This window comes from Homo sapiens, chromosome 11, assembly GCF_000001405.40.
Source record: "Homo sapiens chromosome 11, GRCh38.p14 Primary Assembly".
In the NCBI taxonomy this organism is placed as follows: domain Eukaryota; kingdom Metazoa; phylum Chordata; class Mammalia; order Primates; family Hominidae; genus Homo; species Homo sapiens.
The window spans coordinates 70,139,373-70,160,124 of NC_000011.10; the positions used below are offsets into that span (position 1 = coordinate 70,139,373).

General features: G+C 53.0%; 1 protein-coding gene across 21 annotated transcripts in view, besides 4 other annotated features; it reads left to right on the forward strand.

Annotated features, from left to right (window-relative positions):
* ANO1 (anoctamin 1) overlaps positions 1-20,752 on the forward strand; it is a 223,534-nt gene that overhangs the window by 173,376 nt on the left and 29,406 nt on the right. For 8 of the 21 annotated variants that reach the window (NM_001378092.1, XM_047427183.1, XM_047427182.1 and 5 more), the window contains 5 exons: positions 10,338-10,420; positions 13,078-13,089; positions 13,685-13,756; positions 16,539-16,616; positions 17,575-17,649. In NM_001378092.1, the coding sequence (NP_001365021.1) occupies positions 10,338-10,420; positions 13,078-13,089; positions 13,685-13,756; positions 16,539-16,616; positions 17,575-17,649 (320 nt within the window). The remainder of the gene's footprint in view (positions 1-10,337; positions 10,421-13,077; positions 13,090-13,684; positions 13,757-16,538; positions 16,617-17,574; positions 17,650-20,752) is intronic. The other 13 variants (NR_030691.2, XM_047427185.1, XM_047427181.1 and 10 more) reach the window with 4 other exon arrangements.
* Positions 1,407-2,220: an enhancer, noted in NCBI's record as "NANOG-H3K4me1 hESC enhancer chr11:69986885-69987698 (GRCh37/hg19 assembly coordinates)". NCBI's record gives its function as "activates a minimal SCP1, AML or CMV promoter by ChIP-STARR-seq in naive H9 embryonic stem cells {active_cell/tissue: H9 hESC(naive)}" and the evidence as "EXISTENCE:reporter gene assay evidence [ECO:0000049][PMID:30033119]".
* Positions 2,221-3,032: an enhancer, noted in NCBI's record as "NANOG-H3K4me1 hESC enhancer chr11:69987699-69988510 (GRCh37/hg19 assembly coordinates)". NCBI's record gives its function as "activates a minimal SCP1, AML or CMV promoter by ChIP-STARR-seq in primed H9 embryonic stem cells {active_cell/tissue: H9 hESC(primed)}" and the evidence as "EXISTENCE:reporter gene assay evidence [ECO:0000049][PMID:30033119]".
* Positions 15,972-16,472: an enhancer, noted in NCBI's record as "H3K4me1 hESC enhancer chr11:70001450-70001950 (GRCh37/hg19 assembly coordinates)". NCBI's record gives its function as "activates a minimal SCP1, AML or CMV promoter by ChIP-STARR-seq in primed H9 embryonic stem cells {active_cell/tissue: H9 hESC(primed)}" and the evidence as "EXISTENCE:reporter gene assay evidence [ECO:0000049][PMID:30033119]".
* Positions 16,473-16,973: an enhancer, noted in NCBI's record as "H3K4me1 hESC enhancer chr11:70001951-70002451 (GRCh37/hg19 assembly coordinates)". NCBI's record gives its function as "activates a minimal SCP1, AML or CMV promoter by ChIP-STARR-seq in primed H9 embryonic stem cells {active_cell/tissue: H9 hESC(primed)}" and the evidence as "EXISTENCE:reporter gene assay evidence [ECO:0000049][PMID:30033119]".

Sequence of the window (20,752 nt, forward strand, 5' to 3'; positions counted from 1 at the left end):
GAGTGCAGTGGCGCGATCTCAGCTCACTACATCCTCTGCCTCCCATGTTCAAGCGATTCTCCTGCCTCAGCCTCCCGAGTAGCTGGGATTATAGCCGCCCGCCACCACGCCCAGCTAATTTTTGTATTTTCAGGAGAGACGGAGTTTCACCATGTTGGCCAGGCTGGTCTTGAACTCCTGACCTCAGGTGATCTGCCTACCTCAGCCTCCCAAAGTGCTGGGATTACAGGTGTAAGCCACCACGCCCGGCCTGCACCAAATATTCTTTACCCAGTTAACCATTGATGGGCATCTTTGTTGATTCCATGTCTTTGCTCTCATAAGTAATGCTGCAGTAAACATATGCATACATGTGTCTATGGTAGAACAATTGATATTCCTTTGGGCATATACCCAGTAATGGCATTGCTGAGTTAAATGGTACTTCTGTTTCAAGTTATTTAAGAAGTCTCCATCTTGAGCCCCAAATACCTGACTCTAGGCCCTACTCCGCGGGCATTACTAACTGGCTCCGGCTGGCGTGTGTGCTGAACACGTGCCTTGCTTGTTCCTGACTGGATTACCTCCAAGTTTTTCTCTCACCTAGAGTAGTTTCCCCGTCTGACTCCACAAAAATACACCTCCTTCCCTTTGGGAGCTGCGCTGAGGACTGCCTCCGTGCCAGGCCCCGGGCTAAGGGCTCTACACCGGCTCTCTCTGTAACCCCACAGCAGACCAAGGCTCTGTTCTTTTCTCTGTTGAAGACGCTAAAGTGTTCCCAGAAAGGGGTCTTGAGCCACACCCCAGGAGAGGGTTTTTGGATCTCACACAAGAAAGAATTCAGGGTGAGTCCACAGTCTAAAGTGAAAGCAAGTTTATTAAGAAAGTAAAGGAGTGGCCGGGCTCAGTGACTCACATCTGTAATCTCAGCACTTTGGGAGGCCAAGGTGTGTGGATCACCTGAGGTCACGAGTACAAGACCAGCCTGGCCAACATGGTGAAACCCCCTCTCTACTAAAAATACAAAAAATTAGCCGAGCGTGGTGGCAGGTACCTGTAATCCCAGCTACTCAGGAGGCTGAGGCAGGATAATCGTTTGAACCCAGGAGGCGGAGGTTGCAGTGAGCCGAGATCATACCATTGCACTCCAGCCTGGGTGACAAGAGCAAGACTCTGTCTCAAGGAAAAAAAAAAGAAGAAGAAGAAGAAAGAAAGAAAGTAAAGGAGTGAAAGAATGGCTACAGAATAGGGCATTCCCAAAGTAAGAGGAGGACCGTGCCTACCCTAGGTACAGTGCTTGTTTATGTAGAGGATAACAAAGAAAATCATGGGGAGATATACTCTGCTACAAGGGTTTGTGATAAAGGATTAATTGTCTTAATTACTATATTTTGTGAGAATCAATATTATTATCTCTAAAGCGAAATTAGGAATGCTTTTGTTCTCAACATCTCGGGATATCAGGACATTCCTGAGTCTGGGTCTGCTTAGTAAACATTATCAATCTGTCCCTTAATGTAAACATCTAGAGGCTGGGAATGCCTCACTTTCTGGGAATACAGCCCGGCAAGCCCCGGCCTCATTTTTCCTAGTCCTCACTCAAGATGGAGTCTCTCTGGTTGGAATGCCTCTGATAGAAGCACAGAGAGGGTAAGCGACTTGCCCAAAATCACACAGCTAACAGGTCCCTAACAGACGTCTCAGATGCGCACCCCGGCCCATCTGCCTCCAAGGTTTCAGCACGTGCCCTGGTCCCACCTCTCTGTCCAAACGTTCCCTCATGCAGGGCCCTCTTGGGGTAGCAGGAATGTACCGTAAGCCAGTAGCAGGGGACATGTAGGCGTAGTGCTACTGAGCGCGCCGTCCCCCATGGGCTGTGGCCGTTCATTTGGTGGCCCTGTTTCGAGAAGCCAGCTTGCCTGTTTTGCAGTTCTTCACTGCACACCTAGTGCCTTGCGCCCCAAGAGCTGCGGGCCAGCCCCTTCGTAGCAGATGGCTACATTCCCCCGACTCTGGGAGTGGGGGACTCTGTGCCTGCTGACCCCGCGGGAGGCTTTGCTGCTTGTCTCACCCCTCCCTAGCTCCACTTCAGCCCTGGGAGACAACAAATGTGCCCCGACTGTCAAATACAGTCAAGTACAAGTTCCGTCTGCACGCTCCCATTTTGAGCGGGGGCGGGGGGAATTCACAAAAAAGCCAGGCCACTCCCACGAAGCATTTGCTTTAGAGAAAAGGAGCTTATTCTAAATCAAGACAGGAGCAACAGGAAAGAACCTACTGCGGCTGAGAGGTGTGAGCGGAGAGGGGAGGGACAAAGCCCCCATCCCGGGCCCTTTTCACACTGGCTGTCAAGGGTAATTACCAGGGATCTCTCCTTGTGTGTTTTTTAATCCCTTATTCAATTATTTGTTCTTTACCCTCTAAGGGATTATTTTTCCTCTGGTGTTTCTTCTCCGCTTGTGTCCTTTCTTTTCCGGCCTCCAGCTGTTCACATTTCTGCTCCTACAATGGCAAAGAGACAGAAACCTGTTACTGCCTGGCAGCCGGGAGCCTGGTCGTGGCCACCCGCCCGCCGGGGTGTGGGGGTCCGTATTCACGGTGGATGAATCACCTCCAGCCTGCTGTTTTAATCTTTGCTTCCACTGCACCGTGGGGTCCAGCTTTCCTGGAGCTGACACGTTGGTCCCAGAGACTTCAGCTTGCTGCTGTCTGGAATTTCTGACATTTGAAAGCCTCAAATAAGATGTCTCATTAAGCAGCCTTGAGCCCTATTTAGCTATTCACTTGGATCCATTTTCTGAAATTATAGCATAATAATGGGGTTTTAACTGCTTGTCAGTTCCACGAAGAACAAAGGAGTTTATCTGATTTGAGCCTGGCTGCAAAAAGCCGGAGAAAGATGGTCCCAACTTTAATGAAATGCCAGAGATGGAACTGGAACCCCTCCCAGGGGCTGGGCCTGAGATTTTACATGGAGTTGACAAGTCACCCAGCTGAGTCACTCCCAGCTAGGTGGGGACGAAGGGGATGCACTGTGATCGTCTGCGGGAACTAAACTTGTTCCAGGGATAAATAGGTAGGGTGCCCGGTGACTCAGAGCGAAAGAGAAGGCTGGAGGCCTTTGTGTCCCACCCATCTCTGCCGAGCACTCTCGTGCAGGACCAGAGCCCTGCCCCCGCCCCGCCACTCCCCAGGAGACCCCTCTCTAACCTCTAGTTCATGGAAATGGAGTCTGCACTAAGCAAACATTGCACTTCTCGGGAACTGGAGGTTAGCAAAGGGTGGTTTCTATTCCCAGGGGGTGGGTGTCTTAGTCTGCTCCAGCTGCCATAACCAAATACCACGGACAGGTGCCTGCAACAACAGGCATGCATTTCCCACAGTTCTGAGTATGGAGAAGTCCAAGATCAAGGTGCCAGCTGATTTGGCCCACGCCTTGGCTTTCAGACAGCCACCTTCTCCCTGTGTCCTCAGGTGGCAAAGGGAGAGACAGGAAGCCCGTTCTCTGTTGTCTCCTCTTCCAAGGGTACGAATCCCATCACGAGGACCCCACCCTCATGACCTCAGCTAAACCCGATCAACCCCCAAAGGCCCCATCTTCAAATACCATCACCTGGGGGGTCAGGGCTTCCATGTGAATTTGAGAGGATGCAAGTCAGGCCAGAGCAGGGGGTCACATTTCAAGAAGGGAAATGGATAGGGACCCCACATGCACAGTCCAAGCAGGATGCACCCCTGCTCTGTGGTCATGTGTGACTGTGCCCTGCCTGCTTCCCAGAGCTGGTGGGCTCAGGGGTGGAGGGCAGAGGCTTGGAAGACGCGACCCCTGCCCGTGAGGAGCATGGATCTCACTGGGGAGATGGGGCTGTCCACTGGGCAGCTACAGAGCGGGTTGCAGCTCGCTCAGGGGAACCAAGAGAGTGTCAGATGAAGCACCTGAGATTGTGCCCTGGTTTGGGCAACAGCATCTCAGGGGAGAGAGAGCTCAGAAAGGGAGTCCGCCAGCCAGCTAAGGAGGTGCCGCGAAATTAGGGAAATTGGAGTGAAGCCTGAGTAGTAGAGACATTGGCATAAGTTGAGGCGGGGTGGGATGCAGCCTGGGAGGAGAGGCAGCTAACCTGATGGATGGAGGGATGGTTGGAGAAGGACGGCAGAAAGACGGAGGGGTCGGTACTTCCAGATGCCTGCTGGCAGCCTACGGAGCTTGTTCAGAATGCAGATTCCGGGGACCCTGGGTGACTCTGTAGGTCAGAGATCTGCATTTTAACAAGCTCCCTGGGGAGATTCAGAAACACCCCAGATTCCCAGACCCACACTGAGAAATCCCGGATGAAATGGACAGATTGCCCCCCGCCACAGGTAACCACACATGTGTGTGTCCCTCCGGCCCATTCTCCTGTGATTCCTCCAAGATGTGGCAGGTGCACATTAACACATAAGGGGAATCTACGCTCATCATTCTATCACTAGCTTTTTGTAAATTGCAGTGAAATTCACACAACATAAAATTAACCATTTTAGGTGCACAATTCAGTGGCATTTAGCACATGTTATGCATCCACGCCTCTGTCTAATTCCAGAACATTTTCATGACCTCAAAGGGAAACCCTATCCCCATGAAGCAGTCGGTCCCCCTTTCCCCCAACCCCAGCCCCTGGCAACTACCAATCTGCTTTCTGTCTCTCTGGATTTACCTGAATCAATGGATTCAGATTTCAGGGGGGCTGGGCTCCTCCACTGCTCCAGAGCAGCTACATAAAAATTTACCATAAATATTTATATTTATTTATATATATTTACCATAAATATTCTGGGTATTTTATACAAACGGGGTGGTACAAAATGTAGCCTCTGTCCTGTGCTGAGCCTCTCAAGGGGACACGTGGAGATCCCTGCGACCGAGCTGGGCCGTAAGAGCAGTCCTCTGTCAAGCCCTTAGAGATGCGGGCCCTGCCCTGAGCACCGCTTGTGGATGAAGTCAGGGACACCCTGTGATATGCGGGCCCTGCCCTGAGCACCGCTTGTGGATGAAGTCAGGGACACCCTGTGATAGACCCTCTCAGGCAGGCACTGGTAACAAGCCCATTTCTCAGATGTGGAGACTGAGGTTGGCAGCAGTGTGGTCAGCTGCCCATGCTCACCCTGATGAGATCCCATGTAGACCTAGAGTCTTTCGCTCAACTGCTGCCTCTGGACGCCTCTATGAGGAGTTTGTGTGACTCTGTGCTGTGAAAATCAATGTGGGAAGGGACCATAGCCCAACTATCCGCTCCCGCCAGGCCTGGCTTCTCGCTCGCTGCCACCCTCTGTGCTGTGTGCTGTGGTGACTCCTGGACTCCAGATTTCAGGGGGATGGGCTTGTCCCTTTGGCCACCTCGTAAGGCTGCTGCACTCAAGGCTGTTTCTTCATTGTACACTCATGTGGGTGGGAAGCCCCGTCCCTAATGCCAGCCTATCTGGGCATCAGAAGGCCTGGGTCCAGGTTTCTGCCCTTACTTGATGAGTCCCCTGACGTCTCAGAACCTCAGCTATGTGTCTATAAAATGGAGTGCGTCGTCCCTGCGTGGAGGGGGCCGGGGCAGGATCCGAGGGGATCAGGCGTGGGAAAGCACCGTGTCCAGCGCCTGGCAGCAGCTGGGTATTATACAACATTTGTATGAGGTGGTTGGCACATTGGCAAGGAGGACCAGGATTGGGACCCTCGGAGGGCAGGAATCGGAACTCGTGTGGGTGAGGAGGGAGGGCTCAGGAGCAGGAGAATTACTTGAGGAGGATGGAGCTCAGGGTTCTTCCTGCCTTCGCTCACTCCACTAGAAGGTGGTTCTTCACACTGCTCACAATGCCAGCTTTGAGGACTGGCCACCAGGCGCAGCACGAGCCTTCACATTCCTTTCCTGCTGGTGAAGCCTGGACTCCACAGCTCCACCCCCACGCTCACTGCCCACAAAAGCCAGACAATAGGGCATGGTGGGGTCTGTGGCCAAGTGGAAAGGTATGCCCAAGTTTTGACAAAGGGATGATCATTGCTTAGCTCCAGCCTTCCGCTGCCAATGCTTCTGGCTTTTAAAGGAGAAGCAGGAAATGCATAATTTTTATGTCAAATGTCTTTATTTTTTAAACGTGTCTGAGCCAAACAAGCCACATCTTTGTAACATCTTCACCCTCCACCCCACCCCCAGCCGCCAGGTTACATTCTAGGCTCCAGTCTGGGTCCTGGCCAATCTACAGACACCTCCAGGACAGGGCCTTTGCTTCTACCTGAAGACACAGTACAAATTTTAGAGCAAGAATACCACGGTTCAATGCCAGGTGCAGTGGCTCATAACTGTAATCCCAGCACTTTGGGAGGCTGAGGCAGGCAGATCACGTGAGGCCAGGAGTTCAAGACCAGCCTGGCCAATACGATGAAACCCTGTCTCTACTAAAACTACAAAAATTAGCCGGGCGTGGTGGCATGCACCTGTAGTCCCAGCTACTTGGGGGACTGAGGCCAGAGAATTACTTGAACTCAGGAGGCAGACGTTGCAGTGAGCTGAGATCACACCACTGCACTCCAGCCTGGGTGACGGAGAGAGACTCCTTCTCAAAAAACAAAAAAAAAAAAAAAAAAAAAAGAAAGAAAGAATACCAAGGTTCAATACCAGCCACCAAGCTCTGTGACCTTAGGCAAGTTACTTAACCTCTCTGTGCCCCCATTTCCTCATCCATAAGATGGTATGCTTTAATAATCAGATTTGTGACGCTACAGCTATTATTTTCTTAAGGAAAGTTAAATATCTGCACAGAGAGTTGGTCCAGTATCGTGGTTCTGTGAAGACTCTGGAGTCAAAGAGAATGAGGTTCAAATCCAATGGCTGCTGCTCCCCTGCAGCTGACCTTGGGCACAGCACTCAGGCCTCTGAATCTCAGTTTTGTAAATGGTCTCCAGTTTGTAAATCTATGAACGGGAATCCTCCTTCCTGCCTGCGGTCGTTGTGAGGATGAGATTGACTGATATGTGTAAAATGCTAGTGCACGGATACCTCCTCGTGAACTGGTGACTGTTGTTATGCTGCAAGCTGGCCAGTGCAGAGAGGGCGAGCCGGAGCGGTAGTGGGGTGAGTGTCATAATGGAGGCCAAGTCTGGGAAAGAGGAGGAGCTGGGGAGGCCGGGACAGGGAAGGTGCGTGAGTCAGGGTTCTCTGGAAAGACAGAACTAATAGGATATTGTACATATGAAAGGGAGTTTATTCAGGAGAATCGACTACTCACATGATCACAAGGTCAAGCCCCACAATAGGCTGTCTGCAAGTGGAGGAGAAGGGAAATCAGTAGTGGATCAGTCTGAGTCCCAAAACCCCAAAAGTAGGAAAGCCGACAGTGCAGCCTTCAGTCTATGGTTGAAGGCGTGAGAGCCCCCAACAAACCACCAGTGTAAGTCCAAGAGTCCAAAAGCCGAGGAACTCAGAGTCTGATGTTCAAGGGCAGGAAGCATCCAACATGGGAGAAAGATGAAGGCCGGAAGACTCAGCAAGTGTGCTCTTCCACCTTCCCCTGCCTGCTTTTTCTAGCCACACTGGCAGCAGAGGGGATGGTGCCCACCCAGATGAAGGGTGGGTCTGCCTCTCCCCCTCCACTGACTCAAATGTTAATCTCCTGTAGCAACACCTTCACAGACACACCCAGAAACAACACTTTGCATCCTTCAATCCAATCAAGTTGACACTCAATACAAACCATCACAGCGGGTAAACAGGCCAACTCTGCAGGTGTGCGTGGAGCAGCCCTCCCGGGCAGTGCTCGGCCCCAGAAAGCGTCGTAAAAGGGCGTTGTTGGCCTGGGCGGGCAGAGGAGGACAGAAAGAGGCAGCTCTCACAGCACAGTGGAGGAGACATCGGGGGCCTTGCAGACCAGGCAGAGACCAGGGAATGGATGGCCTCCTCCACTGCTCCAGAGCAGCTACAGGGGCCAAAGGACATCTTCAAGGAGGCAGAGACCTCCCCGCATTGCCTCCTGGGGAGGGTGCCCACCGCAGACAGGCTGCTCCCACCGTCTGCCTCCTGAGGGTCAGGGGCCCTGGGGGTTGGGGGCCTCCTGCTGGGCCCCCTGTGGCCCTCCTCACCAGCCATGGTGCTCAGTGCGTGTCTGCTGAGTGGCTGGGTTTCCAGCAGGTGTTTCAGCGATAGCCATTCCCTCACCTGCTCAGCTCTGCATCATGGGGAGGCGCGTTCCCCAGGCTCCTGGCTCTCCCTCTTCCCAGTAGGTTCAGCCAGTGGGAAGCCCTTTTGGGAAATCAGAAGGTGGGAGGAAGGGAGCAGCAGAGATATTGCTCCCCATCTCCCTCCACTTCCTGGGACATCCCCAGCAATGACTGTGTCTTCTCCAGACTCTGACTTCCCCTGGGAAGCCCTTCCTCCGTGATCCCAGCTTCTTCTGGGCAGCTCCAATTTCTGGCTCCAGCATTGGCGCTGAGCACCTCCTACTGTCCTGCCATCCTGAAACGGATGCCAGCTCCTGCTGTGGGTCATCTCTGGGTGGTCCCACCATCCCCCGTGTGGCTTCTCAGCTTTTCCATTGCCTGTGCGAGCAAGTCTCAGGATTAAGTTACTCCGCTATGAAAAGACCTGGGGTCGGCGGGGGGTTCCTATTTCCAGGCTGGGCCGGCCGATACAGTAGCCATCCTAGACAAACCCGTGCATCCTTGGAAGCCCTATTCGCACCTCGCCTTAAAGGGAATGGGATGTGTTATGCATAGACTCACGACCTCTGAACCAGGTTCACACCCATGACTTTCGTTCTTTCCTGCCACACGCTGCCTTCAGTTAAGGGCCACATTTGTGAATTCACTCTGCACGGTCACCGTCGCACAGCCCATTTTATTTGCACGTCAGTGCTGCTGCTTCTCGGAGAAGCCATTTGATCCCTCTGAGCCTCAGTTTCCCCCTCTGTAAAATGGAGGGGATGGGAATAGCGCCTACCTCCTATGATCACCGTGAGGCTTAAATCACACTGATACTTCCTCACTGATACTCCCAGTCTGATTATTAGAGGGCACCATTTTATGGATGAGGAAACAGAGGCACAGAGAGGCTAAATAACTTGCCCAAGGTCACAGAGCTCAGTGGCTGGTATTGAACTCTGGTATTATTGCCCTAAAATTTGTACTAAGCATCTTCAGACAGAGGCAACGGCCCTGTCCTGGAGGGGTCTGTAGATTGACCAGCTCCCAACAGTGCCTGGCAAGGAACAGCTCGAGAATCGTGAGCTCTGAGAAACTCTGTGGCCTTCCTATTCCTCTGCCCCTCAGCCTCTGCTGATTTTCTTCTGCAGGGAGAAGCGTTCAGGATAAACAGTTCAGCCAAGGGCATCTCCTTTTGCAAGCTGTGTGCTCACAAAAGTTGCTCATTCGGTGCCCACTCGAGCACCTGTCTGTCCCAGGCACCTCTGGGAACTGGGGGCCCAGGGGAACGAGGCCCCATCCCTGCCTCACATACAAGTCACGGGACGGGGATCCTGATGGAAGGCAGCACTGACACCGTGGGCAAGACAGATGCAGGCTGAAGAAGGTCCCGAGAGGAGCTGGGTTTTTCTCACATTGAGGGGGATGATCTGTGGCTTCCTGAAGGAGGCGGCATTTGAACCATGCTCTGTCTGTTGGGAATATGAAGCTGAATGCAGCAGCTGCCAGTGCGATTCAGCAGGCAGACCCCTGGGGTGGTTTGAAGCCCGAGTGAGTGAGTGGCCTGGGCTCAACCCTCGTTCCTCCTGACCTCCGAACCGGGGCCCCCGAGAGCAATGGGGGAGGATGGTTGAGGCACGGGCTCTCAGACCATGCTGCCCATCCCTCACTGACTAGCTGGGTAACCTCGGTCGGGACTTGAGTGTCCTATGCCTCAGTTTCCTCATCTGTAAAATGGGAGAATGACGGCTCTTGCCTCACAGGATTGGCGGGAGGGCTGAACACGTGAATTCACATGAAGTTCTCAGCCCAGGATGTCACCCTCTCTCACCAAACACTGATAAAGAAAAGAATGCCTTGGCTGGGCGTGGTGGCTCACGCCTGTAGTCCCCACACTTTGGGAGGCCAAGGCAGGTGGATCACCTGAGGTCAGGAGTTCGAGACCAGCCTGGCCAACATGGTGAAACCCTGTCTCTACTAAAAATACAAAGATTAGCTGGGTGTGGTGGCGCATGCCTGTAATCCCAGCTACTCGGGAGGCTGAGGAAGGAGAATCGCTTGAACCCAGGAGGCGAGATTGCAGTGGGTGGAGATTGCGCCATTGCACTACAGCCTGGGCAACAAGAGCAAAACTCTGTCTAAAAAAAAAAAAAAAATGCCTTTATGTCATCAGAGACTCTGGTTTTGCCCCTGCCCGCAGCTGCCACCTTCATGGAGCACTGGAAGCGGAAACAGATGCGACTCAACTACCGCTGGGACCTCACGGGCTTTGAAGAGGAAGAGGTCAGTGGGTTTGCCGCCGTGCATATCACGCCCTTCCCCCACGTTCCCCCTACCCCAGGACCTCCTTGGGACTTACACGGAGGCCCGAGGTCAGAAAGCACTTCTGGTCCAAGCTGAGGCAAGGCCGCCCCCCATCCCCCACCCCCTGCCTGCCTCGCCACTCAACACCCTGGCGTTCCGAACACCCTCCATGGCCAAAGTGACCACTCCCTGTCTGCTGAAGTGTTTTCATCCCCATGCTCACATGGACACCCAGCCACCAGCGTGGTCTCAGGCACATGCCAGGGCTCACCACACTGACCTCATCGCGTCTGGGGGCTGCCTGGGCTGTCGGCACCACCCGTGGGGGTGGAGAGGAAATGGACACTGCCCATGGGTCTCCAAAAGTGGCCGTGAGCATCTGCCTCCCCGGGTGCCAAACCCACGTTCCCTGGAGCCAGCTCTGTGCCTGCAGCTGGGCGTGGCTGACAAGAGGGAACGGATCCTTTACTAACATAGAGGGAAAGCCAGTGTTGGGCATCTTCATACTCCAGAGAGAGGGACATTCAATATTACGTAGCCCCTGGGATGCCAGGTGAACCATACTCCCAGGGATCCCAAGTCCAGCAGGAATTCCCTTCAGGGTAGGTGGGAATGAAAAGGAGTAACAGTCCCCACAATTAGCCTTGGTGCACAACAGAGGCGACCTCATGCACGCGCTGTAAGGTGCAACCACACTGACCACTATTTAATTTTATAAAACATGCTCCCCACTTTTTGGGAGACAGGGTCTCCCTCTGTCACCTAAGCTGCGGTGCAATGGCATGATCATAGCTCACTGCAGCCTTGACCTCCCGGGCTCAAGCCCTCCTCCCATTTCAGCCTCCCAAGTAGCTGGGGCTACAGACACACACAACCATGCCTGGCGAATTGTTTAATTTTTTTGTAAGAGTCAGGTTCTTGTTATGTTGCCCAGGCTACACATGCTCCCTTTTAAAAAAAAAAGAACTTTTTCATGCATTTTTATTGTAATGTAGACATTTCTTTCTAAAGATATTTTTCTTTTAAAGGCCTTTTTTCTTTAAAAAAAATTTTTTTTAACTTTTCTATTGTCTTTTCTCACACAATCTGCTCCCTCTCAGACTGAACCCAAGGGTCACTCTTCAGCCAAATGTGCCAGCTTTGGGTTGACAATATTGTCAACAGACAAGGGGATTAGAGTTTTCTGGGAGAGGCACAGCAGCTCACAGGGTATAAGACGGGCCTCTGGGGCCAGGCTGCCAGAGTTCCATCCAGATTCGGCACCAGCCTTGCTGTGTGACCCCAGGCAAATTGCTTAACATCCCTGTACCTCAGTGTCCTCACTTGATGGCATTTGTAGGGTCTCAATGGATCAATAGATATAAAGCACTTAGAACCTGACCTAGCACACAGTCAGTGCCCCATAAACGGCTGCCCGGCTAGTGGCCACTGGGCGACACCTTTATCTGCCCAGACAACAGCCTCCACCCTCTTCCTCAGCCGATCTCATTATCCTGTCCACAAATGACCAGACAGAGATCAATGCAACCTGTCCACAGCACACAGCTCTGCAGGGCAGAGCGGGGGCAGAGCCCAGAGCCCTGTCCATGGAGGGAGCTCTCTGGGTGGTCTCTTCCCTTGCCGTTTCAATTAGAAAGATTCAAATAGAAAAAAAAAAGCAGTCACCATCTTGTTCAGAAGTCAATTTCAAATGTCCCTTCTGTGATGTCCCTGTGGCTGGGGAAAGTTGGCGGTGAGGCCCAGTCCCCTTTGTTCAACCCCTTGGGATCCCATTCCCTGATCTCCTGACCCTGATGGCTTGGGATCTTGATTTTGGGGGTGATAACCGAAGTCACTGGGCACACACAGTGCCAAGGAGCCCGAATGAATTTCCCAAAGTGAGCCACTCGCACCCCCAGCGGCTGGTCAGGGACTCCTTTGGGAGTAATAACCTCAGGCGACAGGGGCCGCCCCTCCACATAGCCTGAACCCCAGACTTTGGTAATGAAGCAGAAGGACACTTGTCTCCTATCATGTGACCCATGTGTGCCTTAGCTGAATCTGAGATGTTTCAGTCCAGCACTGAAATTTGGAAATTTGGGGAATTTCCAAAACCATGGGAAAGGCCACAGCTACAAAGGCCACAGTCCACAGTCACCCTCAAGCAGCAGTAAACCTTAAAGGAACCCAGGGTCACCCACCCATCCCGGCTCACCTGTATCCATTTACCTTCATCCTAATTCTTAAGAAAGTTGTCTTTAGGACCGGGCGCGGTGGCTCACGCCTGTAACCCCAGCACTTTGGGAGGCCGAGGAGGGCGGATCACGAGGTCAGGAGATCAAGACCATCCTGGCTAACAGGGTGAAACCCTGTCTCTACTAAAAATACAAAAAATTAGCCGGGCGTGGTGGCGGGCGCCTGTATCCCAGCTACTCAGGAGGCTGAGGCAGGAGAATCACTTGAACCCGGGAGGCAGAGCTTGCAGTGAGCTGAGACCGCGCCATTGCACTCCAGCCTGCTCAATAGAGCAAGACTCCATCTCAAAAAAAAAAAAAAAAAAAAAAAGTTGTCCTTAGTGGACAGGTCCTATTTCTAAAATAACAACCTAAGTAATGACATCTTTGTGTTTTTGTTTTTACTTTTCTGGTTCCCTGAAGGAGGCTGTCAAGGTTTGGAACTTTTTGTCGCTCCTCTATCTTCCCACAGCCTATCTCCCTGGGAGAGGGACCTTCTCTTGCACCTAATCTCTTTCTACCACGCAGTTCCCGCAGTTCCTCCACGCGGGTGGGGTCTCTGCTTTCTCCCCACCTCCGGTCTCTCCTAACCTGTTCTTTCCTTCCAGCACCCTTCGCTGACCTGCGCTGAGCTCCCCAAGGCCTGGCACCTCTGGGCTTCCTGCGCTTGCCGACAGTTACTGCGTCTCTTCTGACTCCCACAGCTCCCCCGTAGAATGTTCTCAGGGCCAGTTCATGGCTGGGTGTTCACTGCAGCCTGGTACAGGCTTCTCCACCTCCAGGAGGACACAGAGGCCAGATTCGGTGGCCCTCCCAATGGGCTGGGGTTCCCCACAAGCGGGATGATCCTGGGTCACTATCCAGACCACAGATGGGGTGATTACACTGGAAATATTCAGCAGCCAACTATGAACTGGACCCAAAGGGTGCCCGAGGCTAATACATGGACTGATTTGCCAAGTATGCTCACGCTGAGGAGCTCAGACTCAAAATTAACAAGGACTCTGTCTTGACTTGGTTTCATTCACAGGATCATCCTAGAGCTGAATACGAAGCCAGAGTCTTGGAGAAGTCTCTGAAGAAAGAGTCCAGAAACAAAGAGGTATGGTGGCCACTGTGGGTTAACTTTCCCAGCAATAAAACACTGTGTTCATCAACCATGTAGACCTGGGATCAGCCCAGAGAACAAATATTGTAGGCTGTGTAACCCCGTGTTGCGGCTGCTCAACTCTGCCATGGTAGCGGCAAAAGGAGCCATAGACAGTAGGTAAACACATGGGCCTGTGTTCCACACACTGTGTTCCAATAAAACTTTATTTGCAAAAACAGACAGGGGGCCAGATTTGGCCAAAGGGCTATAGTTTGTCAAACTTCCTCTAGATCTCTTGTCATGATGTATCCTGAGGGTGATCTCAAGTTTTAGCCAGCATTTCAACCACAGGAACCACGTGGCTTTGAAGCTTCAAAGCTTTTTCACAGTACACCCCTCCTGTTCTATGCCGAGCAATGAAACAGAAGCCTTTGCCAAACCAGCACCCCTGAGCAAATGGCCAGTTCCTTGTTTCACTCAGACTGTGAGAATGAGGGTGAGACATGTTTTGCAATGTTCTTGAGGTCATCGTCTTTTTATAATAATTGCTTTTCTTTTTCCCCAAATGTCTCATTCAAATTAAGTCATATGTGCAGCCAGGACTCTCGAAGACCTCCAGAGGTGCTTGCCGGCTTTGTTTGTTTGTATGTTTGTTTGTTTGTTTTTTGAGACAGAGTCTCTCTCTGTCGCTCAGGATGGACTGCAATGGCATGATCTCGGCTCACTGCAACCCCCGCCTCCCGGGTTCAAGCAATTCTCATGCCTCAGCCTCCCGGGTACCTGGGACTACAGGCGCGTACCACCGTGTCCAGCTAATTTTTTGTATTTTAGTAGAGACGGGGTTTCACTATGTTGCCCAGGCTGGTCTCGAACTCCTGACCCCAAGAAATCCACCCGCCTTGGCCTCCCAAAGTGCTGGGATTACAGATGTGAGCCACCGTGCCCAGCAAAGTTTATTTAATGGTGTTTTTCACATGATGTGGGACAAGCAGGCATGGAGCTCCTGGCCTTGTCAGCCTCTAAAGGAGGCTGGAGATGCCCGCACTGACCCTTGGAGGGATGAGGGCAGTCGAGGGAGCTCTCACAGGTCCTGACCTTGTGTCATATCTGCACTTTCAGCCTTGGGGACTGATCAGGACAAACCCCTGGGTTTGTCTTTCCTTGTCAATGTGTCAGGGGACAGTGCTCACAGGTCCAAAGTGGCCGGGGGTTACAGTTGCCAAAATCCCATCTGGAGGGTAAAGTGGGTGCTCTAGAAAGCCTCCTCTCAAGGCCCAGCTCTTCAAATACAATGAGAATCTGGGGTACAGCTCGGTCCTCCTATAGCCAGGAAGGAAGTATGTCTTTTTTTTTTTTTTTTTTTTTTTTGAGAGGGAGTCTCGCTTTGTAGCCCAGGCTGGAGTGCAGTGGCGCGATCTCAGCTCACTGCAAGCTCTGCCTCCCAGGTTCACGCCATTCTCCTGCCTCAGCCTTCCGAGTAGCTGGGACTACAGGTGCCCACCACCACACCCAGCTAATTTTTTGTATTTTTAGTAGAGACGGGGTTTCACCGTGTTAGCCAGGATGGTCTCAATCTCCTGACCTCAGGTGATCCACCCGCCTCAGTCTCCCAAAGTGCTGGGATTACAGGTGCGAGCCACTGTGCCCAGCCAGAAGTATGTATTTTTAAACACCCCTGAGGGTCTGAGCAGGACTCAACAGAATACAACTATAAAAGCAGGAGTTATCGCCCTAAAATAAAGAGACTGTCTGTCTGACTTAACACATCGGATGTGCACGCCCGGGTGCCAGCTGCCCTCTGCCCCGGCCCTTCAGGCCCTCTGCGCCCCTCATTCCCTCCTGGGAAAGCAAAAGGCCTGGATGCCATCATCTCTAAGGCCCTACAAGCATCCGGCGTGTTTTCAGGGCGGCATCCCGGCCCCCAAGCCTGGGTGAAGATGTCTCAGGAGTCAGTGTATGGCCTCCAAGACAGCCCACCCTGTAGTTGTGTGGTCGCACCTCTTGCAGTGAGCATAGGTGGGTATTTAATTCCTTCCTAAGGGGCAGAAAAGGGCTTTTGTGACACACACTATGTCCATTTAAGGCAAGGGACCTAACCAAGCCACAACAGCGAATCTGGGCAACAGGTGCCGGAAGGAAGCCACCTCTTGGATACAGGGTCCCTCCGCCTCTGTGGCCCGTGGCTTGGTTTCAGCCCAGGCTCTCTGATCACATGAAAGCAACAGAGGCATGGGGGTTTACTTTTGCAGAGCTCAGAGGCACCCCCAGGCCCTGTCTGCTTCTGACGGGCCGTACCCTTTATTTCCTCCTCTGTTTCATTTGGCTCCCAGTGGCTGCTCTGCGGTTTTGATTTCCCTCCAGCTATGGCACTGAATTCATTTATGGAAAGAGACCCACCACCTAATTGGCGGATGTGCTTGGGCTTCTGGGTGTGGCTTCCTTCTTGCTGTCATAAGATGCTGGTGGTGACCTGCACATTTGGCCACTACCTCCCGCTGGAATCCAGCCACCATCTGTGAGATGGGGCATGACGCGGTCCAGTGGAGGGTGCGTGCTGGAGTCTCTCCCGTCTCCACCACCTTTGTTACAGATGTTCTTTCCGAACGTAGGTCTCTGCCGTCTCTTACTTGTTTAAAACGCCCAGAACCCGAGTCAGCCTTGGCAGTGAGCTTACGGCCCGCACCAGGAGGGGCCAGCCTGCTGCCAAGATGGGGACGGTTCCCTGGGCCCCGCGGTCTGCGGTGCCGCCTCCCACTTCACCGCACGGTGCTCTCTTTCCCCCACCCCCCCTCAGAAGCGCCGGCATATTCCAGAGGAGTCAACAAACAAATGGAAGCAGAGGGTTAAGACAGCCATGGCGGGGGTGAAATTGGTACTTTTCTATTTTGCGGGCAGCGCGCGTCTTGACTGTTTGCAGGCAATCAAAGTCGATTGTGTTTTTCCTCAACAAACTGTTGTATATATTTTTTTTTAACATTCACATCCGTGTTTCTCTGTCTTCCTTCGGCACCCAGTGAGCCCAGCATGTTGCGATGGCACTGCATGGCTATGGTGGGTCTGCGGTGGCGGGGACGGGGGTGGGGCTCTGGCTTGACTTGGAGCTCGTGAAACGTGCTTGTCACAACTGCCTGCAAGTGTTTCTTGGTCTCCTCGTTAACATGCATGCCACCCACCCCAGAACGAGTGGCCTCCGGTGTCATGCCCGTCTGCATTCTGTGACCTAATACATGCATTTTCCCATGGAAAAATCCACCCCCATTTGAAACATCCCGGATTAGTGATGAGCTTCTACCTAGGGTTTCTCCAGACCAAGCCAACCCTGGGTTCTGAGAGCCTTCAGGACATGTGTCACCGCAGACGACGTTTTAACTTGTAGTGCTAGCTGCTTGTTTCAACTTGCTCCACAAAGGAAAAATAACTATTATGGTCTGGGTGGCACTGGGAAAACATCTTCCATCTTCTAGACCTAGAAGTGAGACTTTTAGCTGAAGAAATGGACTCCAAGTCCAGGTTTCTCCCAGACGTGGGTCCAACAGTCTTTAGAAAGGCAGCTGGCATTACAATGTCCTACACACAGAGGAATCACAGTGTTAAACGGTTCTTGCTCCCGTTATCCTGTGACATAGGTGATAAACCCCGAAATGCTTCTTGGAACCCTATGCGTTTGCACTGGCTCATCACCTGTGGGCATTTTTGAGGTTTTTCTGAGTATTTCTGTTGTTCAAGTTGTCCCTGGGCCCATGCACGCACGCACATGCACCCACGCTGACACACAGAGATGTCTCATCGTGATGGTTCCAGACAGTGACCGGCATTGTTTTGTGTTGTAGACTGACAAAGTGAAGCTGACATGGAGAGATCGGTTCCCAGCCTACCTCACTAACTTGGTCTCCATCATCTTCATGGTAAGTTCCAGAAGGTTAAGGCCAGACGAAGTCAGGGGAAACCGCAAGGAAGTGATTGGCTTCAGCCGGGCGTGGTGGTTCACGACTGTAATCCCAGCACTTTGGGAGGCCGAGGCGGGCAGATCACTTGAGGTCAGGAGTTCGAGACCAGCCTGGCCAATATGGTGAAACCCCGTCTCTTACTAAAAATGCAAAAATTAGCTGGTGTGGTGGTGCATGCCTGTAGTCCCAGCTACTCAGGAGGCTGAGGCAGGACAATTGCTTGAACCCGGGAGGCAGAGGTTGCGGGGAGCCAAGATCACACCACTGCACTCCAGCCTGGGTGACAGAGCAAGACTCTGTCTCAAAAAAAAAAAAAAAAAAGGATGCGATTGGTGTCCTCCAAGACCTGATTCAGCCTTTCACACGGTGGTGCCACTGGTCCCAGGGTGCGCCGGCCCCATCTCCTCAGGGCAGTGGGTGGGGAAGACTCACCACTACCCCTAAAATGGGAAGAGACCAGGGTTCCAAAGTGACCCCCAGTGGGGGCTTCACACGCCAGGGAGTACATGAGATGATTTCTGTGGTCCCTGATACACAGCTTTCATTTTGAGAGACACAATTATTTGAGTATCTAGTAATTCAAGCCTGGGATTCAAAGATATCATTTAAGATGAAACTGAAGACTTTTTAAGAAAACCATTAAATGGGCCGGGTGCAGTGGCTCACACCTGTATTCCCAGCACTTTGGGAGGCCGAGGCAGGAAGATTGCTTGAGCTTAAGAGTTTGAGACTAGCCTGGGCCACATGGCAAAACCAAAAATACAAAAATTAGCTGGCGTGGTCGTGCGCGCCTGTGGTCCCAGCTATTCGGGAGGCTGTAGTGGGAGAATTGCTGGAGACTGAGAAGTCGAGGCTGCAGTGAGCTGTGGTCACGCCACTGCACTCCAGTATGGGTGACAGAGCGAGACCCTGTCTCAAAAAAAAAAAAAAAAAAAAAAACCTGTTTATGTTTATTTTGTGACCAAAACATGACTTGAGCCCTGATACAGGCATCAGCATTAAATTAAGTAAAAACAAATTTTTAAAAATTTTAAAAAAGAAAACTATTAAATAAATAACATGCAGACAGGACACGATAGTGCTACTCAGGGACCACAAGTCTGTGACGTGGCTTGTGGGCAAACATCTTGTGGCTTTTAGGGGATTTCAATCCCAGGGACTTCAACCCCCAATGGATTCGGCCTTGGCCGCCTGCTAGCTGTGTTTCCATCACCCCCCAAGTACTCGGAGCCAGCCGTGGTCATGTTACAAATGACCCTGCCCTCGTCCAGCCCAACAGCTTGAAGGCAGCGCCTCCTGTGGCCACCTAGCCCCGAGTCCTGGTACTGGAGCCCAGGTTGGCAGCTGTGCACTGAGGGCCTCACCAGAGCGTCTCATCACTGGCCAGTCCTGGTACCATCCCCCTCCTGCTGATACAGAAACTAAAGCCAGAAGGCTGCACTTCTCCTCCAGTGCCAGCCAGAGGTGGTGGCTGTGGTCACCATGTAGTCACTGGCATATGCCTGCAGAAGCTGGTGCCAGTCAGGCTGTCTGCTCCAAGATCCATGCCATTCTGTAGGAACTTGGAGAGACAGAGGCGGGGGGCTGTCTTTGTTTTCTGGGTTGAGTGAGGGGCCAAGGGCCCCCTGACCAAGTCATGGAAGAAGTGGGAAGATCCAGTGTCCCCTCATGCTCTTAGGTACAGTAAGAGGGACGCTGGCCGACATAAAGAAGTCCAGAGGAGGGTGGCCTCAGTGGTGGGGCCTGCTCATCCCCCTTACCTGGAGAAGGGGACCCCCTCGGTGGGGGCTGGGGGCTGGGGGCTGTTGTGCTCTCGGTGACTTGGTGGGAGGGCACCCGGCCTCGTGCTGAGGGGATGTGTCCCCTCTGGCCAGGTGCCAGGCTAGGGGGTTGGGAGATAACCGGAGCCTCCCCATCCCTCACCCAGGGGAGGCTAGCCTGAGGTTCAGCCACTCCCACTGCAGAAGCAGCAGCATTGTCGCAGAAGGGCCAGTGCGGGGCCGGGAAGGAGGTGGCCGTCTAGGGCTGGTCTGGTGGCCCCACGATGCCATCAGAGTCACTGGCTTCTCTGACCTTCTGCTAGCCTGTCCTAGGAGTGGGTCCCCTCTTGGTCACAACATGGCTGCTGCACCTCCAGCATCACTTCCACTCTCCAGGCTGGAAGAAGGGGAAGGGTGGGGGAAGAGATGGGCCAGGGGTGGCAGCCCCTGTCTGAAGGTGCTTTCGCAGAAGACCCACCACACCTCTGCTTGCATCTCATTGGTCAGAACTGTTTCACGTGGCCACCTCCTCTGCAGGGAGGCTCAGGAATGAGCACACACTGCCATCTCAGCAAGGCGGGATGGTAGAGGAAAGACAGAGGATATTGGATAGGGAAGTAGCCGGCTCTTTTCCCAGCCTTGACGTACTGGTAAACCCCTGTCACAAGGGCTTCATAGGGTTGAAGAGGACACAGCTTTGTCTTCAACTTGGGAGTTTCATTCAGCGAACAAACGTTGGTTGAGCACCTAGGATGTGCCCCACACGCCCCTGGTCCTGGGGATGCGGGGGAGATGGACCAGGGAGACTGGAAGGGAGCCTGCTGCAGGGCGTGCCTGTTGTGGGCCCGACTGCCCCATGGCAGGGCAGGGGACGCGCCCGCTGGGGTGGAGGGCCTCCCTCGCTGAGTCACCCACAGGCCTGGCGCTCCAGCTGCACCTCCGCATGCTGGCACGGGGACAGACATCCTGGAGGCCTCTTGGCAGGACCGAGGGGTTTTCCAAGGAAAGCCCTTGTTCCCCGGAGCTGGCCAGGGAGTGGTCCCCACGCCTCGCAGCAGGGCTTCTCCTTAGTCAGGGTGTGGTGAGGGCTGCAGGCATTTTCCTGGGCAGGGTGCAGTCACCATGTGTCACTGGCAGATGCCTGCAGAAGCCGGTGGTAACGGCCCAGAACATGAAATAAGAGCTTTTCTAGGTTTCTGAAAGCTGCAGACACCCTCTGGGGCAAACAGACCCATCCCAGGCTGCAACTGGGAGACACACAGGGCAGCCCCAGGCCTCCTGGGCCTGCCTGTCCTGGGAGC